We start from the raw sequence: 27,192 nt of genomic DNA, 5'->3' as shown, positions 1-27,192 counted from the left end.
GCTACTTGGGAGGCTGAGGCAAGAGAATTGCTTGAATCCGGGAGGCAAAGGTTGTAGTGAGCCGAGATCACAACACTGCACTCCAGCCTGGGCGACAGAGCAATACTCTGTCTCAAAAAACAAACAAACAAACAAAAACAACAACAAAAAAGAGTGACACTTTTAGTGCCATGCTTTCCACATTTTTGTGCTTTTTGCATGTGTGTGATTTTGCTGCTTAAAATAGCCCCCAAGCATAGTCCTGAAATACTGTCTAGTGCTCCTAAGTGCCAAAATGCTGTGATGTGCCTTCCAGAGAAAATATGTGTGTTAGGTAAACTTCATTCAGGCATTACAGTGCTGTTTGCATGAGTTCAATATAATGAATCAATAATACCTCAAATTAATCAATTGATCAAATTAAATAGTGTATCTCTAAACAAAAACACACATGAAACAAAGTTATACATTGACCAATTGACAAAAATATTATGGCTTGAACCATAATATCTCATAGGAACCTAATGCTGTATTTCCTCCAAGAACAATGGTTCAGTACTTGCTAACTTGCTGTTTGTGGAAAATTTATAGAACAAAACTACATGAATAAAAATCAACTGTATATATACAGACATACATATGGATATATAAATAAATAACCCATTTTATCAACATTTTCACAAATATTCAATTACTATAGATCACAAATGTTTAAAGCCCAAAATAACTTTGTAAATTTCATCCAAGCTTTTCATGTTATAGATGAAGAAACTGAAAACCAGATCAAGGGATTTGGATAAGATCATAATTAGTTACAGAGCAGAAAGCTATTACTCAGGTGTTCAGACTTACAGGCCTACACTAAGCTGCCTTTCAATTCCTAAAAATGTAAAGAAACTCAAATGTTATTGTTTCTCTCTCTCTCTCTCTTTTTTTTTGGTTTCATATTTCTTTGATTCTCATAATTAGCCTATGAGGGCAGATATTGAGAAACAGACAGAGCAGGGATTCAGGTTTTCTGAACCTAGTCATTATGTTATCTCTAAAACTGTAGAAATGGGTAGCTGTGGACCTTTCAGAAAATAAGTAAAGCACATATTATAAAGTCAGTCACATACAAAAGATGAAAACTTGCATTTTCCTTTTCCACACATACAACACTGTGGTGAAAGTTAGGGATCCAGTATAAACCAAATGCTTCATTTGCATCAGCATAGAAATAATAATTTGCATAAAAAATGTATGGGAGTAAAGAAATATATAAGTAAATGTGTTAAGAATCTCAACTTTATCTGTGCACATTCATATGTCAGGCAAGCCTTTCTCAAATTGATCCCAAGCATTACCAGTAAAGAGCATAGTGTACCTTTTGCTATGAAATTTCTATAGCTAGTGCTAAACACGATAGGTACAAACATGACAGGTCAAGCACCTGTGGGACAAATGGAAAAGATCATACTAGGAAAGGGATAAGTTTCTCCCTGAGGTTCTCCCACAAGCTTAGGCAAGAGGAAAACCCTACTTTTTACAGTATTTTTATATAGTATTGGTTAATATGTTTTTATTAAAAATAAATATTTAAAATTTTATCTCTACAGAATAAGTAAATATTTAAAAAGCAAAAACAGAGTCCTGAGCACTGAGTCTAATAATTCAGAGAGTATAAGGACCAATAGGAAGAGAATTCCTTGGCAGAGACAAAAAAATGCAATTCAGACTAACATCATGAGTCAAAGGCAACAAGTCCATTCTCTAGCACACCAGAAACTTCATCAAATGATAGTCAGAAGCAAAGCAGACATGATTCCTGGATTCACTTAATTCAGACAGTCTGTCTTGGTGGTGATCTTAGCCATTGCATGCTAATCAAAATCTAATCCAATGTTTTTAATTACGATTTCAACACCAGTTCTTTGTAATTGCTCCTTCCAGAAGAAAGAAAATTCTGAAGGAGGAGAGGAAGAAGGAAAAGAAAATGAAGATAAACAAAAAGAAAATGAAGATAAACAAAAAGAAAATGAAGATAAAGGAAAAGAAAATGAAGATAAAGATAAAGGAAGAGAGCCAGAAGAGAAGCCACTGGACAGACCTGAATGTACAGCAAGTCCTATTGCAGTGGAGGAAGAACCCCACTCAGTTAGAAGGACAGTTTTACCCAGAGGGACTTCTCGTCAATCACTCATTATCAGCATGGCTCCTTCTGCTGAGGGCGGAGAAGAGGTTCTTACTATTGAAGTCAAAGAAAAGGCTAAGCAATAAATGTTTGATTATCTTTAGATGTGATATAGCTAGTTCCCAAAGTGATTGTACCTAGGATTGTAACTTAAATTAACGAGGGGAAACGACATGCTGGGACCCTTGAGAAACGAAAGGCAAATCCCTAGCTTAGTTTCTAGGACTTATCTGAGAGTGTGATTTCATGCAGTGGTAATAAGAAGATTATTAAAAGCCATCCCTATTCTCCGTTTTCATTAACTTTATGCAATTGCTATATCTTCTAATTGTATGTAGTAAGTTTCCTTTTCCTTTGGTTCTTTCCTGATGATGTCTCTTCCTTCCAGTTTTATTAGCTTGCTCTTGGCTGTGATGTGATTCACTAACCTTTTCTCTTAATTTTTATTGTGTTTAATTTCTTCTTTGGCACTCTAAAGCCTGGCTAATTGTTCTAGGTTTATGAATTTCACCTCTTACATGTAAAGGGTATAAGATTTTAATGTAATAGGTCAAAAATCAGATTATTTTCATTCAAATGAGGATGATGAGTCACTGTAATATCAAAAAATCCCCAGCAGCTGGGACTGAAGGGAAGCAGAGATCATGAAGCTTTCTGAATGAGAAGTCTGATTTTTGGAACAGTCCCCTGAAGACCAATGTTGGTCGGCAGAATTAGCAAACTGGCAAAATCACATTGCAGGAACATATTGGAAAAATTGTACCCTTTACTAAAGAAATAAACTTCAATATTTTCTCTTCTAACCAACTTAAAAGACACCAATCTACCTAACTCATCTGGCTCAAGGGACTTGGACTGGAGGATACAGGCTAAAGTGACACTTATCAGAATCTTCCTCAAGCACTTGCTGGAAAAGATATCAGATTGGAACTTCTTGTTTAAAATTAAGCTTTAGTAAAACAAAGTGATGAGGTTAGGAAGGCAGACTCTACACATGTCAGATTGACATATCCCCACAATTTCCGGAACCTACATGTATAGCTGTTTACAAAATCTCCAAGTTAATTAAGGGCACTTTAGGAAGTTGTCCTCATGAATTAGCTAGCATTAGCATAATTACCGACGTTGCATGCTGTGAGGAGGCTACAAAGGCCAGGCTGGTGTCGGAAGTAATAATACATATAGAATTCCATTCTAATAAATGCCATTAGTGTATAACATCAAGTTCTGTGTAATGAGGCTATTTCCAAGTCTCCAAAGATGGTCACTGTAACAGCACTTTGCTGAGAGGGTTTTAACAAATCATATTAGCCAAAAAGCCTACAACATAGATGCATTTAGCAAACCATGTACAAATCAATCACTATAATAAACTGCATCATTTGATAGAGTCACCGTTTTTGCATGTAGTGTTAGAGTATCACAAAATATAACAAGTTTTACTAAAGGATGGTTGGTTTTTTCAGGATTTAAGGGAATATGGACAAATTGTTAAATAGTATTTATTTGATAAATGGGAGTTTGTATGCAGAAAGAGTGAATTGCGTATAAAAAGGGTGATTTAAAAACCCAGAAACAAAAGGTAGAATAGGGCTGAAGCATCTGATAATAGGAAAAGAAAAGGACAAAAGTCCTCAACTTGTGAGCAATATGCTTTCCCTTTACACCCTGTAATTTATTCAAATGATATTAAAATACAAGACCATTGCAATTTATGCTTTTCGCCTGGCAGTTATTTTCCCCCCCAAGCTATCCTGTTTCAGATAATATCAATTTATTTCCAATCCATCAGACTAAAATCTAAGAAAATTCAAGAACTCTTTTATTGTTGATTTGGTGCCACCAAATTCTTTTTCTTTTTAAATCTTTCTAATTATCCTTTCTTTTTCAATCCCATTGCTAACACCCAGAACATATTTTCTGTTCAATGCAAATAAACATTCACTTTTTACCTATAGTCTGCTCTTGTCACTGGTCTGCCCTCTTAGTCCCTTTGCTATTGGAAAATAAAATCTTTCTAAAACCCTACTTTTGACCATGTTACTTCCCTGCTCAGTGGCTGTATTAGAGTTTTCCAGAGGGAGAAAAAAAAAATAGGGGATATATATCTATCTCAGGCCATTGGATTCAGACTGGAACTTAGACCACTGGTTCTTCTGGTTCTGATGCCTTCAGACTCAGACTAAAATTATACAACGGGCTTTCCAGGGACTCCAGTTTGTAGATGGTAGATCATGAGACTTCTTTTCCTTCATAATTTCATGAGCCAATTCCTTATAATAAATATATTTAAATATATATTATATATTACAAATATGTGTAGAGATTTATTATATATTTTAATATATATCATATAGAGATATTTATCATGTTTTTTATTTATATATTTTATATATACATGATTTATTATTAGGAATTGGCTCACACAATTGTGAAAGCTGAGATGTTCCATGATCTGCAGTCTTTAAGCTGGAGACCCAAGAGAGCTGGTGGTGTAGCTCTAGTCTGAATCCAAAGGACTGAGAATTAGGAGAGCTAATGGTAAAGGTTGCAGCCTGAGACAGGAGAAGATTAATGTCCCAGGATGAGCAACCAGGCCAAGAGAGCAAATTCTCCCTTCCTCCATATTTTTGTTCTATTCAGGCCCTCAACAAACTGTATTATGCCCACCTACATTGGGGAGGGCAACCTGCTTTACTCTGTCCACCAATTCAAATGCTGATCTCATCCACAAACATACCCAGAAATAATGTTTTACCAGCTATCTGGGCATCCTGTGGCCCCATCAAGTTGACACAAAAAACCAATCATCACAGGAACCTACTAGTCCTCCTACCAGTTAAATCCTATTTATACAAATTTAATTTCCACTACCCTAACCATATCCTCCACTTAAGTGGGTCTCCTTGCTTTTTCTCTGGAACAAATACCTGCCCTTCTTCCTCTGGCCTTTGTCGCTGCTGCCTGCCTTACTCTGGAAGGTTGTTGTCTCTCCTCCGTCACTTACCTCTGTCCTATACTTCCAACTCTGCTCACATTTTCTGTCTCCCAACTGCCTCTAAAAACATCAACCTATGATGGTTCTATCTCACGGGATTATCTTTTGTACTTTCAGGAAGTGCCACATAGTACAGCATGTCCTCTAATTTCCTCTTAATTGTAAATTATTTCTGCTTAATTATAAATTATAAGAAGGCAACTAGCTCTTGTGCTTTCTTTGCATAATGACAAAAAGCCCAGTTTTTTAAAGGGAGAGAGAATATGAGTAAGTAATTCATGGAAGAAAAACAAATAAGCAATTGACAGAGAAAAGGTGCTTGACTTCACTTGTGCTCAAAGAAATACAAATCAGAACAAAATGGAATACCACCTTATACCCATCTAACTGGAAAAATACTTGAAAGCAGATAATAGTGCCAAGTGCTGGCAAGTGTGTACACTGGCTCTACTATTTTAGCAATCTTAGCAAAATTTTGGCAGCACACCTTAGAACTCAGCAGTACCATTTCAGAGTATATATGCCAGAAAATTCTTAAGCAGGTCCATAAGAGGAAATCCATGAGGATATATAGCATTGTTTATAGTACAAAGGAATTGGAGGCAACTCTAATATCTACCTCTAGGAGAATGGGAAAAAAAATATGGTGTGTGGGAGTATAGTTGTGTTTGTAAGATGAAGTTCTATCCAGCAGTTAGAAGTAATGAATTAGATTTACATAAAGCAAAAAGGATAGATATTTTTAAAATACTAGTATAGTTTGTTTAAAAGAAAAAAGAATGAAATCTTCAGTAATACCATGCATGTATATTTCTATAAAGCTTGTCTGATAAAGACCACCAGGAACAAACTATAGTATAATACAATAAAGCCAAGTTTATTAACATGATGCAACAAATTATTCACCAGAGAAAATCTGAGTGTCCCACCAAACACAGGAAAAGACAAGGTTACTATAGGATATTCGGGATGGGGAGAGGTTAAGTGGAGTTTAAATGAAGTGATATTTTGATGGGCTCAAATTAAAGCAAGACAGTGTTTAACATCAGGCTTCAGCTAAGAAGCAAATGTGGGGCCCTGTTTCCTTGAAAACTATTACATTAAGATAAACAGAGTGTTGTGTCCAAAACTCTCTTATTTGAAGTTGTGCACCTGGATGCTTTTCTGTGTCAAAATAACTCAGACCCTCCAGGCAAAAATGGAATGTTTCAGTCTTACTGATAAAATTTCAAACAGCACTGGGTGAGGTGGCTCATGCCTGTAATCCCAGCACCTTGGGAGGCTGAGGCGGGTGGGTCACCTAAGGTCAGGAGTTTGAGACTAGCCTTGCTAATATGATAAAACCCTGTCTCTACTGAAAATACAAAAATTAGTTGGGTGTGGTGGTGGGCGCCTGTAGTACCAGCTACTTGGGAGGCTGAGGCAGGAGAATTGCCTGAACCCAGGAGGTGGAGGTTGCAGTGATCCAACATCATGCCACTGCACTCCAGCCTGGACGATACAGCGAGACTCCGTCAAAAACAAAAAACAAAAAACAAACAACAAAAAAAACCCCAGCTATTTTAAAACAAGATTTTTTTCTTAATAATATGTGAGTAGACAGGAAGCAATTATCAAACATACACACATGCACACACACAAAGTTGAGGCAAAAGAAGTCCCCCATGCTAAGTGTATTAGTCTGTTTTCATGCTAATGACAAAGACATACCCGAAACTAGAAAGAAAAAGAGGTTTCATTGACTTACAATTCCACATGGCTGGGGAGGCCTCACAATCATGGAAGAAAGCAAGGAGGAGCAAGTCACATCTTACATGGATGGCAGCAGGCAAAGAGAGAGCTTGTGCAGAGAAACTCCCATTTTTTAAACCATCAGATCTCCTGAGACTTATTCACTATCATGAGAACAGCATGAAAAACCCACCCCTGGCCAGGCGCGGTGGCTCACACCTGTAATCCCAGCACTTTGGGAGGCCGAGGTGGGCAGATCACGAGGTCAGGAGATAGAGACCATGGTGAAACTCCGTCTCTACTAAAAATACAAAAAAAATTACCCGGGCTTGGTGGCGGGTGCCTGTAGTCCCAGCTACTCAGGAGGCTGAGGCAGGAGAATGGTGTGAACCCAGGAGGCGGAGCTTGCAGTGAGCGGAGATCGCGCCACTGCACTCCAGCCTGGGCGACAGAGCAAGACTCCATCTCAAAACAAACAAACAAAAAAACCCACCCCCATGATTCAATCACCTCCAACCAGGTTCTTCTCACGATATGTGGGAATTGTGGGAGTTACAATTCAAGATGAGATATGGGTGGGGACACAGCCAAACCATATCACTAAGGTTTAGACAGGCTGAAAATAATAATAGCTAGCACTTACACAGCATTTACTGTCTACCAGATACTGCTCTAAGTGTTGTACCTCTGTTAGCTCATTTAATCTTCGTAATAGCCCCATGATGTAATTATTGTTTTTATCATCCTCACCATTTCTCAGATGAGGAAAATGAGACATCTCTTTCCCTAGGCACTGTGAATGCAAAGATTTCCCATGTCCAGATATTGGAAAGAGCTCACCACATTCCACAGAGCATACTCATACACATGTGGGGCTTTTACGTAAAGGCCATGGAAAAGATGCAGCAAGAGAAAAAGAGCACAGGCAAGCAGTGGGAGCCTGACAATCATCCCATGAGCAAGCTCCCCAAGGTGGTTACACAAGGATCTGACCAGACTCTGTCTCAGGGATTGAACCACCAAGATCTGTGCAAGGAATCTAGGCTTTGGGAGAGCTCAAAGCTATAAAATCAACAGTGGGCTTCATATACCCCTCTCTCCACATATCAAAGGCATGCTGCCTAACCAATTAGATCACTAGAAAACCTTTAGTGAAGAAACTGACTCGGAGTCGCCAGAGTTTAGCACTTTAAACACCGCATTATTCTCACTGCCCTTATCTTGGCCAAGAGTTAAAATCCAGACATCCAGGGGTCCCCAGAGATAATAGGTGAGCTTTTCCCTACTTCTTTCTTTCCCTACTACTGCTAATCCACATATATCTCTTCTCTGGACTCCCTATAGTCCATGTTCATTAATCATTTGACTAATTAATTGATGATTTATAGATACAGCAGGTCCTCAAGTAATGTAGTTACATACAATGTCGTTTTGTTATAACATGAGTGAGAAAAAAATAGATTCCTCTCTACAGCCACTGTCTGCATGGATTTTGCACGTTCTTTTCATGACTGTGTGGGTTTCTCCAGTTTTCTCCTATGTCCCAAAGAAGTGCCTGTTAGGTGGGCTGCTGTGTCTAAATGGTCCCAGTCGGAGTGAGTGTGGGAGTGTGTTTGTGTGTGTGTGTGGGTGTGTGTGTTTGTGAATGTGGGTGTGTGTGGGTATGTGTGTGTGTGTGGGCATGTGTGATTGTGTGGGTGTGTGTGAGTGTGCATGTGTGTGAGTGTGTGGGTGTGTGTGAATGCACCCTGTGATGGATGGCATCCTTTCCAGGGTCAGTTCTTACCTGTGTCCTTCACTGCTGGGATATTCTTAGGTCACCTGAGACTCTGAACTGGAATAATTGAGTAAGTAATTATCTTGTTTTAATTAATCTTTCCTAAATGTGCGTACAGCTCACACTTATTTCAATGTTTAATATTATAGGTGTCTTGGTCATTATTTTGAAGTTTGGTGATGTTTTTATGACCAGAAATATGCCATGGGAACTTAACTCTTGTTTATACTAATCAGCCTATGGTAAAATTGGTTAATGTCAAGTGAAGACTTATTATATATGAAAGTTCTTCCCAGACCAGGTCTTTCCTCACTGCCCAGGTCTGACCTCGACAATTAATCACCAGAAATACAGTGCAGCATGGGCTGGTTAAAAGAGATGTATCATGATAAGATCTGCAGAGAAAGAAGGAAGAAGCCACTCAGCAGAGGTTCTATATTTTAAATCTTAAATAGTTAAAGAAGGAAAACAATATCTCTATAAGAAGTAATTTTTTCACCCTGTGGGCACAAGTGTTTATTTCAACAAGCAATTTCCTCTGATTCACTGAAGCCATTCCAAGTGTTATTTGCTCAAAATTGATTATAATATCACCTTCTATTTCACTTTTATCTGTGGCCTCCAAAACTCAGCACAACCTATAAGCTGTCCTCTGGTCTTAAAAATGCCCAGCTCTATTTTGCATTGTCAAACTACATTAATTTGCTTTTGCTAACTAAAATGTAGTAAGTTAAAATAATCATTTATTAGCTCCTGAATCATTTATTGGTTTCTATAGATTGCCAATTTGAGCTCGTTCTTCTGGTCTTAGCTGGGCTAATTCATGCTCTATAGTCAGCTGCCGGATTGACTGGGGGCTGGCTGGTGTAGAACAGTCTCAGGACAGTCTCAGATGGGACAGCTTTTTTCTAACCACATGGTCTGTCATCCTGAAAATGGGTACACTGGGTGTGGAGACTGCACAAGGTTCTGAGAGGAGACAAAGCAGAAGTGAGCCAGGCTCTTGAGGCATAGGCTCAGAATTCACACATCATTATGTCTACACATTCTATTAGCCAAAGTAAGTCACAAAACCAGCCTAGATTAAAGGGGTAGAGAAATGAAATCCACTTCTTAATGGGGGGACAGCAAAGTCACATTGCAAAAGGAGTGGATCCAGAGGCAGCGGAAGGATTCTGGCCATTTTTCAATCTATCAAACAGAATTGTCACATAAAACACAGGACACTCAGTTAATGAATCCTTTTTTTTTTTTTTTTTTTTTTTTTTGAGATGGAGTCTCACTGTTGCTCAAGGCTGGAGTGCGGTGGCACGATCTCAGCTCACTGCAACCTCCACCTCCCGGGTTCAAGCGATTCTCCTGTCTCAGCCCCCCGAGTAGCTGGGATTACAGGCGTGTGCCATCACGCCTGGCTACTTTTTGTATTTTTAGTAGAAACGGGGTTTCACCATGTTGGCCAGGCTGGTCTCAAAGTCCTGACCTCAGGTGATCTGCTCACCTCAGCCTCCCAAAGTGCTGAGATTACAGGCGTGAGCCACCATGACCAGCCTGAATAATTTTTTAGTATAGATATGCTCCATGCCATAATTGGGACTTGCCTATATGAAAAAATATTCATTTTTGTCCAAAATTCAAATTTAACTTGACATCTTGTATTTTTGTTTGCTAAATCTGCCAACCCCACACAAGGACCACGTCAAAAATAAGCAAAACCTTTCTTTAAACAAGAGAGAACTTGGAACTAGAAATGACTTTTAAATTGCACAATTTCATCCAGGTGCAGTGGCTCACGCCTGTAATCTCAGCACTTTGGGAATTTGAGACCAGCCTGCCCAACATGGTGAAACCCCGTCTCTACTAAAAAAACAAAGAAACAAAAAGATTGGCTGGGCGTGGTAACATGTACCTGTAATCCCAGCTACTTGGAAGGATGAGACACAAGAAAAAAGAATCACTTGAACCCGGGAGGCAGAGGTTGCAGTAAGCTGAGATCGTGCCACTGCACTCCAGCCTGGGTGACAGAGCGAGACTCTGTCTCAAAAAAAAAAATTAAAACGCCAGGTCCGGTGGCTCACACCTGTAATCCCAGCACTTTGGGAGGCTGAGGGGGGTGGATCACTTGAGGTCAGGAGTTCCAAACCAGGCTGACCAACATAGCGAAACCCCTGTCTCTACTAAAACACAAAAAATTAGCCAGGCATGATGGTGCATGCCTGTAGTCCCAGCTACTCGGGAGGCTGAGGCAGGAGAATCGCTTGAACTTGGGAGGCAGAGGTTGCAGTGAGCTGACATCGCGCCACTGTACTCCAGCCTGGCGACAGAGCAAGACTCCATCTCAAAAATAAATAAATAAATAAATAAATAAATAAATAAATAAATAAATAAAATTAGCTGGGTATGGTGGCGGGTGCCTATAATCCCAGCTACTTGGGAGGCTGAGGCAGGAGAATTACTTGAACCAGGAGGCAGAGGTTGCAGTGAGCCAAGATCATGCCACTGCAATCCAGCCTGGGCAACACAGTGAGACTCTGTCTATAAACAAAGAAGGACTTAAAAAAAGAAAAATAAAATGAATTGCACAACTTCACCAATTGTAGTATTAGAATGGGCCGAAAGCTCTAAGTATACTCAAAGGAAAGGAGTAACTTGGTCCCCTCTTAACATAATATATAATAAGCTTATCGAACCTGCAGCCTGCAGGTCGTATGCAGCCCAGACAACTTTGAATGCAGCCCAACACAAATTTGTAAGCTTTCTTAAAACATTATGAGTTTTTTTGTAAATTTTTTTTTTTGGCTTATCAGCTACCATTAGTGTTAGTTTATTTTATGTGTGGCCTAAGACAATTCTTCCAATGTCACCCAGGGAAGCCAAAAGATTGAACACCCTTGATATATAAAAATCTATTTTATTTCAGTTGTATTAGATGAAAAATTGCTACACAGAAAACCAATAAGAGAAGAATCTGTACTTTTAGTAATTTGGACCTGTTCTATATTTACAATAATGCCTTTACCCACCTACGGGAATTTTTTAAATCTTTAGAAGGTGTTAATTAATCATTATGCTGTTCTGGAATTTATTATAACTAATCAGACCAAAGATACTTGAAACTGATATTTTAAGTACCATACCCACACGCTGTAGTAAAATTTGATGTTTTTCTCTATGGGTTTTTATGACTGACTGTATTTTTCCTACTATAACTTTTGTGACTAGAAGTGACGGTGCAAAGGTCAAATAAATGTGCATCATTAAGCAATGCAACCTGACATTTCTAGATAATAACTCCCTCGGATGAGGAAAGGGAGTGATACCTGAAAGGTCACAGCCCCCTTACTGTCCGTTTGCACCTCTAGTCATCTCTGCCCAATGCACACAATGATTCTGCCACAAATTTATGAGAATCCTCTCTGCTGGGAATCCTAAGCAATACAGAATTCAGCATATAGTGTATGCTAAGGGTTATTAACTGGGCTCGTGATACAGCTTCTTGCATCCAGCTTTGAATAAATCAAGCTCTGTTGTTTACACCAGAATCTTAGACTTGCAAGGGAATTTAACGATTCCTACCCCAAGTCCCATTTTACAAAACATTCGTGTTTTGTAATAAGACCCTTTGTCCAGGGCTACGCCAGAGTAAAGCAGAGTTCAAGGTCAAAAGATAACACATGCTTTTCAAACATGAAGCCCATGGAAAGGCTTGATAAAAGTAGCATCCACCTAAAGCAGGCCTTTTTCAAATAAACAAGTACATTTGCCAAGATTTTATGGGGTCAAATGATGATCAAGTCTGCCATGTTAGGACCATATTTATATTCCAAATCTGAGAGGAAAAATTCAGATTTAGCATGTCCTTCAGAAAAGGACTAACCACAGATTTCATTAAAATAGAAATATGTGTGGTCGGGCATGGTGGCTTATGCCTGTAATCCCAGCACTTTAGAAGGCTAAGGCAGGCAGATCACTTGAGGCCAGGAGTTTGAGACCCTGTCTCTATAAAAAATAAAGAAATAAAATATGTGGAAGATCAATATTGTTTGAATTTCAATATCACATTTGTAAAAGTGAATAAAGAGATTTAGTTATGAAACAAAACGGTTCATTCATACATTCATCTCCCTATACTAACAATGTTTCTCAACCCACGCTTTCTTAATCCATGCCACTGACAATGCCAATTTCTTTGCTGAAAGGCTCTTCCGCTTTCTCTACATTATAAAGCCCCATAAAACCTTTAAATCCCAGATGAAATGTCAAACCATCCATGAAGCTCTCCAAGATCTTCCCACTGCCCTGACGACTCTCCACATTGAATAGAAAATCTTCCCATTCTAAGCTTCAATATTTTCTCATATAAACTAACTTCTATCTTTATATATTCTCTAGTATATACTTCATTCATTCATTCTTTCAGTGTTTATTTAGGGAATGCCTTCTAAATGCCAAGGTATCTTCTAGGCTCTGAGGAGAAAGCAGTGAACAAACAGGCAAAAATCCCAGATTTCTTGGAACTGACATTCTAGTGGGTGAGGGAGGACAAGAAAAAAAAACAAAACAACATCAACAACAAAAAAACAACTTCCCAGGCTCCAGCAATCCTCCTACCTCACAGCCTCCTGCGTAGCTGGAACCAAAAGTGTGCTCTACCACACCCAGCTAATTTTTGTATTGAGACAGCTGATTTGGTTTGGCTGTGTCCCCATCTTGAATTGTAGTTCCCATAATCCCCACATGTCATGGGAGGGACCCAGATGGGAGGTAATTGAATCATGGGGGTGGTTACCTCCATGCTGTTCTGGTGATAGTGAGTCAGTTCTCATGAGATCTGATGATTTAGTAAGGGGCTTTTCCCCAACTTTGCTCTGCACTTCTCCGTGCTGCCACCAGGTGAAGAAGGATGTGTTTGCTTCCTCTTCCGCCATGATTGTAAGTTTCCTGAAACCTCCCCAGCTATGCTGAACTGTGAGTCAATTACACCTCTTTCCTTTATAAATTACCCAGTCTTGGGTATGCCTTTACTAGCAGCATGAGAACGGAGTAATACAATGGGTTTTCACCATGTTGCCCAGGCTGGTCTCAAACTCCTGAGCTTAACCAATCCACCCAACTTAGCCTCCCAAAGTGCCATGATTACAGGCGTAGGCCACTGCACCTGGCCAAAATAAATATAAACAGAGAAGAAAAATAAAAAGTACTAGGGAAAGAGGTACACTTTTAAATAAGGTGATCAGAAAAGGCCTCACTGAGTGATGCTTAAATAAAGACCTGAAGGAGGTGAGGGAGCAAGGTTCCCAAGTGGCTAGGGGAGGCTGGGTTTTCAAGAAGGGGCAACGGCAAGTGCAAAAGCCCTGAGCCAGGAATATGCCAGGCATATTCAAGTAAGAGCAAGAAAGCCCATGTGGTTGGAGTGAATGACAATGCAGAGATTAGTAGAAAAGAAGTTTAGAAAAGGAAAGAGCAGGAGGGGCCAGACCATCGAGACACTGAGAAGTTGGTAGGATTTGTGATTGAAGGCATGGAGGGAGACTTGTTAGAGTTGTGGTACTAAAGGGAGTGAACTGCAAAAGTGGTTGTTATTGAAAAACTGAATACTTGAAAATGCGATCAGGGAGGGTTTTTTTTAAATCAATAACGATAAGGTCTAGCATATGACCTTCAGAATGTGGGCTGAGGTTGAATAGAGAGCAGTATTATTATAAGGAGGGATAGAGAGTGATCTAATCTAATGATGCAAGATTCAAAGCCAGAGGTTTTAAAGAGGAGGGAAAAGCTCTCTGAAAGCAGAAGGGAGGATCAAGGAGGGTACCTACGCAGCCTCCAAGCCCAGGGGTAGATCAGGAAGAGGAAATTACCATCACTTGAGAGGGCAGCAGAGGAAGCAATGTTCTTCAAGAGAGGCAGGTTTTAATTAGAATTAAAAGGTGAAGGGACTATTCAGAAAAAAACATTGATATCAGAAATTTCTGCTAATGAACGACCCAGTTCTTGAGGGCAGAGTGGAAGGGTATGGGGCACTGGAGAGAAGTGGGATATGGAGTCAGAATACAGGGGTTGGAAACTAATGGTCTGGGCTTCTTGTGAGGACTGGCATGAACAGTGATCACAGGATGGTAGTGGAGAGCAATGAATGATAGCAGGATGGGCAGGAGAAGCATCTTTCCAGAAGCAGCATTCAAGGGACCCTCTTTCCTCATCACCATGGATGCCTGAAGGCACAAGAAGGGCCAGTCTTACTCCAACACAGCAGAGTCCCTCACCTTGCTCACTCTTGTTCTGTTTAACATATATACTGTCTCCTTTTCCATATTAGATCATAAGCTTTGAAGTCAGCAAGAATTTTTTTACTCTGTTTGAATTCCCCTGTTGATTGCCAGTAATAGACTACCCAATAAATATTTGTTCAAAGAAAAATTGAATACTTCTTACTGAAAGGAAGGGATGGTTGAAAAAAGCAAATTATTTCCTACTCAGACTTTTCTCTGAGAACTCCTTAAAGCTCCCCATCCTTGAAATTCTTCTGATTCCAGTCCTAGAAGACCAGGTGCTGCTATAAAACTTGGTGCTTTGTGAGCACCAATAAATGCTTTGTAAGCATCTGCTGATGAAAGACCAGAGATAGCTCTCCTTTCCCAAGCAGTAAGAAGTCACAATTCTGCTTATAATAATACTTTCCATCATTTTGGAGGAAGGAATCAACAGCCAAGCCAAAGTGTAATTCTGTATGGACATTTCAAACTACTGTGGTTTTTCTGGAGAATCTGGCCAAATGTAGTGATGATCAGGAAGTGATGTTATTTGGTGACAAGTGACAAGGGTGATGGTCTTGCTACATGCAAGGGTTTGGCATTCCTGAAGACATATTATCACCAGGTCTGAACCAGCCTCTGCACCATTAAGGAACCAACAAGATACGGGTCTACCAGACAATTTGATAGTGAGGCAGGAAAAGCTCAGAATTTGGAAACAGACCTAGAATCAGACACTTAGAAAGTATGTGACCAAACAGCTGAGTGTCTGCCAGAAGGTGACCACTATCAGCTCTGCCATCTGGCCTTCACCAAGGCAAAGCCATTGCGACTAGACCCACATTTGGTCACAGGGTTCCATGTGGAACTCTGTGGGCTTCTGAACTCATCTGTCTGCCCTAAAAAGTATGGTCCTCTGGTTTTTCAAATGCACAAATATAATCACATCATTCATTTGCTTAAATCAATTTAGTGGCATCCCATTACCCTAAGCCTCAGTCTGAACTCCCTTACCTGCCCCAAAAGGCCCTCAGGATGTAAACACCACCAACCACTCCACCTCATTTCTTTTACCACTTTCCCTCTTATACTTTATATTTCAGCAAACTCAAACTTCTGTCCACTCCTAGAACATTCAACTCTATACTTGCTGTTGGCCTGACAGCTTCATAAGTGCTTTTAACCTTCTTCACCTAGCTAACTTTCAGGTCTTAGCTTACATGGCACATCCTCAGGGAAGTGCTCCTTGCCTCTCAGATGGGTTAGGTCTCTCTCTACTGTATGTTGTTTCACGCACAGATCTCACATCTCTATAATTACTTGCTCAATGTTTTCTCTCCCCCACTAGACCATTATTTCTACAAAGGCAGCAATCGTGGCTGTCTTGGTTACCACTGGCAAAGTCCTGCCCAATGCCCATGACAAAAGCAATTAAAACATTTTTTTTAAAATTAGGTGGTTACACTATCCTTCTTAACATGATTGATAATCTCAGGCCATTCTAGCTATAAGCTAAGAATCTTTCCTTTACTGTACCCAGAAGAGTATCTTGGACCCACTCAATATCTTTTAAACAAATAAATCCCATAAAATAATATCCCCCAAATTGTTTAATTCAGTAAAATATGAAGTCAAAGGCCACCTAAAACACTATATTTTATTTTTAACTTTTCTATTGTTTTGGTCACATGTAAAGAATAAAAATGAAAACACACTACTCTGTCACATCAAGAAATAACTTTATCCAAAAGGAATTCAAATGTAAGATATATTTAGCATCAATTCATATATTAGTAACTTACACATGTATTGTCAAGTATGACATCCATAAAAGCACAAAACAGTTTCTAACACGTTCCATCAAACTTCTGGCGTACTTTATGTGTCATTTCCATGACTACTAACCACATATATAGAGACTAGGGGATACTTAGTGAAGACAGCTTTCCAGGAAGTTTACAAAATTGAAGAAAAAAAAAGTATGTCCAAATATGGCATAAGTAGCAATGGGGCCCTGAATTTACTTTGGAAAGATTGCCTAAGGCACCACTATAATGAACAGTTGTAAATCTCTGATCAGACTTCAAATTTTTCTGGTCTTAAAATTGCAATTCTAACCACAAGGTTAGGTGACTAGATTAGCTGGTATATTATTTCCTCTGTGCCAGCATCTGTAAGAAATATTACATCTATCCTGGGCACCGTCACTCCGATATATATTTGTAATAGATCTGATTATATGAGGTGTGAAAGTCAATATGGGTAATTTTTCTTTAAATGCATTTTAAGAACAAACAGCACTTAAATGAATGGTGGCACAACAGGGAAAAGGACTATTTTAATGTAAAACAATATTAAATCAGCGTATGATGAGGTTGAGTGCTGAAACTGTGAAAACTGATAATTTAGAAATTGTAAATGCTTTTATTCAAAACTGTAAAAAGGCACCAATTACCCTAGTTTGCTGGAATCACAGTTCTTATGAATAATAGCATCTACTGATGAACATGATCATGAATTAAATGTTTTAAATTTTAAAACAATTTTAAAATAGAATAATTCTGATAAAATCAGAATATAAAATAATGAAGACCAAATCCAATTGACAGTGATTACCTGTTATTTGGCTGAAGAAAACCAGGAATGCTCATAACCAGCAGTTCCCAAGCACCTTGTGCAGGTGACTCAGGGGCTGCTGTGGAGCTGGTTAAGGAGAAGGAGGATATGCCCAGTGACTGGGACCCTGCCACAGCATCAAACAGATAAGCTCACTTCTGTCTGTTTTACTGTACATTGAGAATATGTGTAAGTCATTTTTTAAAAGGCTTCTTGTGATTAAAAGAGAAAATTCTGAAAACCACAGCAACATATCTATGCTGTTTCCAAGCATACAAAGAGAATTAGAACATCTGAGACAACTATGGCTCCAAACAATCAGAAGAAGGGTTAGTTTTCTTTTCTCCTATTGATAATGTCAAAATGATGTGTCATCTATTGAGCCATACTATGGAGTAGCAGGCTACTAGTTAGATGCCTTCCCCAGTTAACAGCACATATCCAAAGGACAGCTAGCCAAGTGGGAAGGTGGTAGGTAAATGCTCATCTGGGCTAGGCAACCACCACAGCAAGCAGGTCCCCTCTCAGCCTGGCCTTGGCAATGAGCTGCTTCTGAGAAGCCACAGCTATCTGTGGTTGAGAGCTCACTCCCTTGAGGCATTGCAGAGAACAAGAGACATGGGCTGTGGGGCAGCTTTTCAATAAAACTGAGAGGCACATCAACATGGCACTGTATGTGTCCACTTAAGGATATATGATAAACATGCAATTTCAAAAGGTAAATTATTAAAGATAATTGGCCAATATATAGATATGCATAGTTTTTAGCACATAGGCCCTCAATAAAATATTAGGATCTATTCTGAAAATGTAATGTTCACTAAGTAATACGCTGTAAAAGGTAAAAGTCAGGAAAAGAAATTCAACTCTTAAAAAAAAAAAGCACATAAAATCCACCCTATCTTAATGCAGCAGTTGGAAAAGTTTTCTTTTTTCTTTCCTTTTTCTAAGTTGCAGTAGGTTTTATACCTAATAAGGTATGCTGTAGACATAGGAAATATCACATTATTAAATTGTAAAATGCAATTTTGATTAACAGATAACTGGTATCGTGAGTTTAAAAATCAGATGAAAATGGTTCTTAAAAAAAGGAGAAAATGACTAAGTGGATCTGTACAAATCAATATATGGGACCTTAGCAAGGAAAGTATAAAATTTTTTTTTAGTAAGCAGTTTTTCATTAGTTAGAAGGAAACGGAATTCTGAATTTCACCTTATATGTTTGGTCCTCTTATCTTTCCTGGACAAAACAGTCCTAACCGTTTTAACAAATCTCAATTAAAGTAATCTAATAATGTAGAATTCAGGACAACCTACCATCTGTGCATCTACAATATCCTGAAAGTCTTGCTCAGTTAATGAAAAAAAAAGCCAAATCTGACCATGTTTACAGTTTTCCACAATAAAATAAAATATCTAGAAAGGCAAATAAAAATGGCTTACTTACATGAGGTTATTTTTACTTGTTGATTGTACATTTAAAAAACTGAGTATGTGCCTTTTCCTGCTCATTCAGTACTTTTCATAAAGTCCCAAGTTGAGTGCATGCTGTTTTGTAAACCACAGTGTCTAAACTGTAGCAAAAATCAGATGCATAGACAGGTTATTTTTACCTTGCAGAAAAGCACTGTATACAGAGTTACAGGAACAAATTTGATATCATATAATTTAAGAAGCTCTCATAATCAGGTATGGACATTGGCTTATACAACATACACTGTGAATCAGGCACAGCAACCTGCAAACCACATCATCCCAACAGTTTTCCATTCTTCCTATTGACAAACACTTAAACACAGCATTTTCATCATATGAAAGTAAACAAAAACAACAACAGAATAAGCTTTCCCCACACTAATTTCTAATCCAAAGAGCTTTACTGCAATTAATGTAAATTGCTATCAATCACTGAATTGACTGGGCAAAGATGGACTTGGCACTGTCCCCCCAAAATAACCTAGAAAGAATGCTTTAAACAGATATAATCCATAGAGAAAGAGATTTACATCATAAATGCTGGGGGTAAAAAGTACGTAGAATGACAGATACACGATTTGGGGTGAGAGATGGCATTGCTCCACATAACACAAAAGAATTCTGTTGAAGTGGTCACTGCTTCTGTTGTTTCGTGGCTGGGTTCTTGGGAGGAAGGAGTTTGTATGTATTGAAGTAGCCCACCACCTGCTGGGGAATCTCTGCCAAGACACACTGAGCAAGTGCTTCTTTTGGAGCCTTGTGAAAAACAAAATAAAAGTGACTTTATTAGCAACTGAATTTTCCTGGCTTTTTCATAAAAGACTAGGGATACTTCAGCAGCCACTAAAATGAAGCAATTCTAATTCATAGGCCTGTACCTTTTCTTAGGAACCGCCCATGAAATATGGAATGAGTTAACTAGCCAATGTTACTTATGATTGCTATTACTATCCCTGCTAACATTTGTCAAGTCCTTTTTCGGTGCCAGCATTCTAACATTTGATGATTTTGTTGTTGTTGTTTTATAACTTTTAAATGTGGTTCTTTCACTTACTTGGTATTAATTTTTTTTTACTTTTTTTTACAACATTTATAGATTCATAGGAAGTTGCAAAAACAGTAAAGAAAGGTACCATGCACCCTTCACCCAGATTCCTCCAAAGGTAACATCTTGCATAACTATAGTACAGTATCAAAACCAAAACCAGGCAGCTGACACTGATACAGTTCACAGAACTTACTCTGATTTCTAGTTTTACATTACTCATTTGTGTGTGTGTGTGTGTGTATGTGTGTGTGTTTGTTTCTGTATAATTCGATGCAATTTTGTCATCTGGATAGATCTGTTTAACCACCACCACAATTGAGATACAGAACTGCCTCAACACCACAAAGATCCCTACCTAACATTACTACTTTATAATCACAACACTCCACTTCCTCCCCTTCCATTGCTGGTGGGAATGTTAAATGATATAGCCACTTTAGAAGAGTTTAACAACTGCTTTAAGAATTAAACATGCAACTACCGTATAACCCAGCAACTGTAGTCCTAGGTATTTATCCCAGAGGAATAAAAACTTATGTTTGCTCAAAAATCCATGAATAGGCTGGGTGCGGTGGCACACGGCTGTAATCCCAGCACTTAGGGAGGCCGAGGCGAGTGGATCACTTGAGGCCAGGAGTTTGAGACCAGCCTGGCCAACGTGGTAAAACCCTGTCTCTACTAAAAAATAGAAAAAAATTGCCAGGCATAGTGGTGCACACCTGTAATCCCAGCTATTCGGGAGGCTGAGGCATGAGAATCACTTGAACCCAGGAGGCGGAAGTTGCAGTACTGTACTCCAGCCTGGGTGACAGAGCAAGACTCTGTCTCAAAACAAAAACAAAACAAACAAACAACAACAACAACAAAAACCCATGCGTAAATGTTTATAGTAGCCTTATGTATCAGAGAGAAAAACAGGCAACAGCCAGCTGTCCTTCTGTGGGGTAACGGTTACACAAATGGTGGTGCATCCATACCATGGAATATGACTCAGCAATAAAAAGAAGTACTTGCAAAAACTTGGTGATTCTCGAGAGTGATGCTGAGTGGAAAAAAAGCCAATCCCAAAAGGTTGTATATTGTACGATTCCATTTATATGATATTCTTGAAATGATAAGATTATAGAAATGAAGACTATATTAGTAAGTGGTTTCCAAGGTTAAGGAAGGGCTAGAAGTAGAAAGAAGGGGATGTGGTTATAAAAGGGCAACCAGGGGGATCCTTATGATGCATCTTGATTATACCACTGTAAGTATCCTGGTTGTGATTCTGTACTATAGCTCTGCAATATGTTACTACTGGAGTAAACTGGGTAAAATAGTCTTCTAAGAGATATTCATCAAACTAAACTTCCAGCTTGAGGGGGATTTGGCATACAGTTACATAAGAGTTTTTTCCTGTTGTTACAAAGGTAAAGATAAAATACTTGAGAGAGTCACAATACTATTTTAAAACAATTTATCATATAGCCTGCAAGAAGCACATAATGAACATCCTGAAGCAACACTGCTAAACCAAATCGGAGCTCTCAAATGGACAAAGGAAAGTGTTCACACATCCTCTAACCCTGCACACCTAATCAACTGCCTGGTTGTAGATGGGCAAAGGTCTGTGTTCAGTCACTTTAGTGTTTGAGTAGGGAGGAGTGGTACTCACATTCTGGAACTGTCTGAAAGGCACAAACTGGACAATATCTCTGATGGCCACTTCGCCCAATGGGGAGCGGAGACTTCCACCATCACCATCCAGAAACTCCATGGCGCTGAAGTCAGCACCTCCAACTCCAACAATTATGATGGACATAGGCAGCCTGGAGGCATTAACTATAGCTTGTCTGGTTTCATCAAGGTCTGTGATCACACCATCAGTAATAATCAAAAGCACAAAATATTGCTGCCAGAAAAAGAAAACATGTCCCCTGAGCAAGTCAAGCAATGGCTAATGGCATCTCTGGCTTGATGAGTCATCCAGTCTTTCTTGTTCATTTTCCTTGCCAGTCTCTACCCTAGCTACCACCACATAAAATATTCTAAGCTTCTCTGATGACAAGGAAATTGACTCTTACAAAAACTGCAGGTTCATTAAAAGCGCAGCAGACCACAAAATAGGGTTGGCAAAATATATGGAAGCAGGACATCTAAATGTCAAAGATTAACCTTTCAGTAAGGCTAGGAATAAACAGTTTTAACTCAAGTATTAAATATGTCAAAGTATCTATCAAGGAGGCAAGTGGAAACTTCATTCTCAGAAGATCAAATAAATACAAAAATTATTAGAATTAGAATATTAGAATACAAAAATTTTAGAAGCTAAAATACACACAAAAAAATAGATATGGTTTAAGTGATGAAATCATCCCCCAGATTGTGTCACCTAAGATAAACCTTTTCAGAGAGCAGTAAAATGTTACATCAAGTAGTGACTCCATCTTTTGGGCCATTTAAGTCTAGAATAGGAATAAGATTTACAATATTAGTTAACATATGTTGAGTGTTTACTCTGACCCAGGCATTGTGTACTTTATATGAATTATCTAACCTTTTCAACAACAGTATGAGGTAGTTTCCCCTAACTTACTTCTGAATATGCTGAGGCTAAGAGAAATTTGGTATCCACGGTCCAATAGGTAATGGTTACCTCATTCAAATATCTTTAGTACAATAAGAAATCTTGCAACAGCATCTGATGTGGTAACTTTCCTTAAGCTTAATTTGTTATGTCTACTTCAAAAAGGTAGATGATAGGCATTTTTTTTTTTTTGGTAGAACCTATCTAAGAAAGTTAATTCCAAGGATAAAAGACTCATGAATGCCAAGTGTTGTTTTGCTGTTGTCTTATTTTTAACGATCACTAGTATAACAACAACAAAAGTTACTCCCAAACCAAGAATGACTGTGTTATTGTATCTTGCCCTGACTTTGTATTATGACAAACCAAAAACATAGAAAAATGGCACCAGGAGCTGCTACCAATCCACATTCTTCCCATTCCCTGGCCATAGAGCACTTACAGAAGCTGTCTGCTGTTGCGTGGCTGCAGCAGCAAACCTGGCCACGTGATTTATGATTGGAGAAAAATTAGTTGGTCCATAGAGTTTTATCTGAGGAAGACAAGACCGATACGCCTCTACAATGCCTTGGATTCCTAGAACAAACAAACAAATAAAAAACAGTACTAAAAATTCTCAAGCACAATGTGTTTATTCACAATACTGGCTAATTTGATTATATGTATCAACATATAGTGCTTTAAATAGTCAAAAGTTCTATAAGCAGTAGTTCCTCTAAGCTATGTATTACATAACTCCATAGGTATGATCCATTGCAAAAACCTATAAGCTCTGTCCTCCCCCAATAGAAGGGATTTACTTTCATCTCAGTCAAATTACTTATTAGTCTACGGTAGGACTGTTACATCTGTGCTTAATTTTTAATACATGTTGGGAATGTGGCTCTGATAGAAAACCATGAAAAAGGTTTCACATCATACAACTGATGATGAAAGGTAAGAAAGAGTTATTAATAAAATGAAAAATCATTTGCATATATGGCCAGAGGTTCTACAAAAATACCAGATGGCGATAAACCTAATATTAATTCTAGTTAATTAACTGATACAAGTGTTTATTCAATAAGTTAAAGGTTAATCATTGTATCACAGACTGCATTAGTTCCAAATATTCACTTCCAGGTTACTTATCCATTTTGCTGCAGAAGCACTGATGTGTTTGTTTAGGGGTACTACCCCTAGACCTGCTGGTGCATTTTATAATAGAAAGTTGGACAGGACCATTTGATTAGCTTTGACCAATGCATGTGACACCCATACCTAAGGAGATGTCTTAAGAACTACTGCCTGTTTTTTCCAGCTCTCTTGCTCCTTTCCTCTGCCGTAGGAGCAGCACATCCCAGATAAGGCTGTTCCTTCAGCCTGAGTCCCAATATAAGAAACATGGAGAGAACTCCAGCCTAGCTGCATGTAAAATGAGCAAGAAATAAACTGTTGTCATTAAAGCCACTGAGATTTAGAGATTGTTTATTACAACAGCACAACCCAGTGAAAGCTGACTGACATTGCTGGTCAAAGCACTGCTGATGAAACTTGTATCCCACACAAGCACCTGTTGAATCTGCCCTTAATATCACAGCATTTAGGATGCAGACAGGATAACAGAAATTCTAAAGAATTTCCAACAATACTTGCTGAGATCATCACAGATACTTGCCACAAAAAAAAAAAAAAAAACTTAATGTAAATCAAAACAGGTCTCTTGCTTTTAAAATGTCTAAGAGAACACAGATCAACAAAAAGGAGAAGCATATACAGTCATGTGTCACTTACCAATGGGGATAAATTCTGAGAAATGCATCGTTAGGTGATTTCATCATCGTATGAACATCATAGAGTATACTTACACAAACCTAGATGGTATAGCCTATTACTCCTAGGTTAAAAACCTGTACTGCATATTGCTATGCTGAATAATGTAGGCAATTATAGCAACTGTACCTTTTCTATGTCTTTACAGTAAAAATAAAATATTAAAATCTTATGGGCCTACTGTCATACATGTGGTCTGTCCTTGACTAAAATGTCATTTTTAGTGCATGACCATACTTGGCTTGAAAGCTTCAGGAAACCAACTCTCTTCTCTTAAAATGTAAGAGTTCCAATAAACTCCTCTTAGTTTCTTTGAATTTAGGAACAGGTAGTCTTATGAACAACCTTTGAGAACATAACTAATTCATAGGCAGGGGTGATTTTACATGCAGAAGGTCCATGTTACTAGTAGTCAGTCCAGTAGTAACAAAGGTATAAATAATTCATTTAGGGCTGGGCACGGTGGCTCATGCCTATAATCTCAGCACTTCGGGAGGCAGAGGCAGGTAGATCACAAGAGGTCAGCAGTTCTAGACCAGCCTGGCCAACATGGTGAAACCCTGTCTTTACTAAAAATACAAAAATTAGCCGAGCGTGGTGGCAGGCGCCTGTAATCCCAGCTACTCGGTTGTGGGCGGGGGGGGGGGGGGGGCGGGCTGTGGCAGGAGAATTGCTTGAACCCGGGAGGAGGAGGTTGCAGTGAGCCAAGATCGTGCCATTGCACTCCAGCCTGGGGGAAAAGAGCAAGACTTCGTCTCGAAAAAAAAAAAAAAAAAATTAATAATAATAATAATTTCTTCACAAATATCAAGAGCTTTCAATTCCTTAATTAAAACTGAATTATGCCAAAACCCTTTCTATGCATCAAAGTAACAAGTTATTTCTAAGGCATATTATTTCTAAGGCAACTAGATTCAATGATTAGTTAGGAAAAGGGGATTAAACTTCCTTGCCTTAAAATAAGGCTCTGAGCTTTTTGCTGTATAGTATCTCCTTTGTTTAAAACCAAACTGATGCTTTTTCCAGAGTGTAAACCACTTGGTGAACAGCCCAAGGATGGGCTTACATTACTCACAGAGTGACTGAACTTCTAAAATGAATTATCATATGATATGTCATCCATATTCATTTACAATAAATGAAAGCTAATTACAACAAATTCTAAAGATTATCCACTTTCATTATAAAAATGAAGCATATTTCTTAAAAAGAATAACATTCCCAGTTTCAAATGGCTAGGGAATAAAAGAGGTCACAACCAGTCACTGAAAGTGCCTCAAAGAACACTGAATTAGTATGGAAAAAGTGTTCTGGGGAAAAGAACAAAACCATATTGCAAACGGCCGCCACAAAAATTGTTCATGCTCTTCCACCTTATGAATATTGTTTAGGAAGAAAAGGAAAAAACATTTTCTTCTGTTAGAAAGCTATACATTTGTAATTGTCAAAAGGACCCTTTGCAGAAAATTAGAGTATTGTCTAGAATTTTAAATTATGCCTCTGCTCCCACACCTACCTTGCCTTCTCCAAACTCTTTAGTCTGATATATAATTTAGTGGAAGAGCTGGCATTTCTGGCTGATTGCTCAATGTGGTAAAAAAAAGAAGCAGCACTTGGATACTTGAGGTATAAGGAAAAAAGTAAAACGTGGCTGGGCATGGTGGCTCACGCCTCTAATCCCAGTACTTTGGGAGGCCAAGGCAGAAGGCAGGAAGATAGCTTGAGGTCAAGAGTTCAAGACCAGCCTGGCCAACATAGCGAGACCTTGTCTCTATTTTTTTAAATAAATAAAAGAAAAAAGTGAAATGAAAGACAAATATTTGCCTCCTGCTCTCTACACAGAGGAAAGCTGCTATAGAAGATCAATTCTTTGTTCCTTTTGCCCATCCCAGCTACTTATAGAATACTGTGTGAGCAACAAGTATTAGATGCTGGATACTTTTCTCTTCGTAGAGAGTGACTACCACTCTGAAAAAAGCTTCAAAAGATCTGTATATCAAATTACTCATTTTATTGAAGGTTTGTTTTTAAATAAATTTATATGTAAAAATACTTTTAATATATGATATTTTTACTGATCTACTCCAAAGATTGAGAATGTTTTTGTCCTATTAAAGTTCTTAAGGTAGGAGGATTTAGCTTACCACCTTCATCATCATAATACTGATTTGCCCCGTAATTACCATTACCACCCTAACCACCAACCTGGTGCAATTCTTCTACCTTATACAACAGAAAGTTAAATATGTAAGAAAATGAAACCTAGAGATGAAATTTGAGTAGTTTTAATCACAAGAAAAAAAACAAAGAACAAAGAACAAAATAACAAAGACTAGTGAGCCTTTCCATTTGAAGTCTTCATGTTTATTTTTTAACTTACCATTGCAGTAGGGATTGGATGGGTTGAAGTTCATTGGAAATTCATGTGATACCTGTCAAAGATGGACAAAGGACTGATGAGGGCTGGGCTGCTTTTCTAGGAGGCAAAGCTTTAAAATAGAGATTTCCTCTTACCTGCCACTGAGGAGGTATCTGAGCGCCAAAACCAAAAGCTGGAAACATCTTATCACTAAAAAGAAAAAAATATTTAATAAAATACTGTTTTTTCCAAAATAAAAAGCTTTATCTTTGCCCACAATAAAATCCATATGAGCTCATTTCAAAAAGTATGAAGATAAAACAAAGATTACCTATATTAACTGCCAAAGAGAATCAATGTTAATATTTGACAACTCTCATCCTAAATATTTTTCTGTGCACTGAGG

At 38.5% G+C, this 27,192-nt stretch overlaps 2 protein-coding genes across 9 annotated transcripts in view; one reads left to right on the top strand and one right to left on the bottom strand.

Annotated features, from left to right (window-relative positions):
* Positions 1-3,863, top strand: part of CNGB3 (cyclic nucleotide gated channel subunit beta 3) — a 169,456-nt gene extending 165,593 nt beyond the window's left edge. For both annotated transcript variants that reach the window (NM_019098.5, XM_011517138.3), the window contains one exon: positions 1,912-3,863. In NM_019098.5, the coding sequence (NP_061971.3) occupies positions 1,912-2,238 (327 nt within the window). In that variant the 3' untranslated portion in view covers positions 2,239-3,863. The remainder of the gene's footprint in view (positions 1-1,911) is intronic.
* CPNE3 (copine 3) overlaps positions 16,544-27,192 on the bottom strand; it is a 47,064-nt gene continuing 36,415 nt past the window's right edge. For all 7 annotated transcript variants that reach the window (XM_047422393.1, XM_047422394.1, XM_024447322.2 and 4 more), the window contains 5 exons: positions 26,942-26,996; positions 26,808-26,859; positions 23,058-23,191; positions 21,704-21,940; positions 16,544-19,754 (listed from right to left, as the gene is read on the bottom strand). In XM_047422393.1, the coding sequence (XP_047278349.1) occupies positions 19,632-19,754; positions 21,704-21,940; positions 23,058-23,191; positions 26,808-26,859; positions 26,942-26,996 (601 nt within the window). In that variant the 3' untranslated portion in view covers positions 16,544-19,631. The remainder of the gene's footprint in view (positions 19,755-21,703; positions 21,941-23,057; positions 23,192-26,807; positions 26,860-26,941; positions 26,997-27,192) is intronic.

Source organism: Homo sapiens, chromosome 8, assembly GCF_000001405.40.
Source record: "Homo sapiens chromosome 8, GRCh38.p14 Primary Assembly".
In the NCBI taxonomy this organism is placed as follows: domain Eukaryota; kingdom Metazoa; phylum Chordata; class Mammalia; order Primates; family Hominidae; genus Homo; species Homo sapiens.
This window is presented reverse-complemented; position numbering and strand designations above follow the sequence as displayed.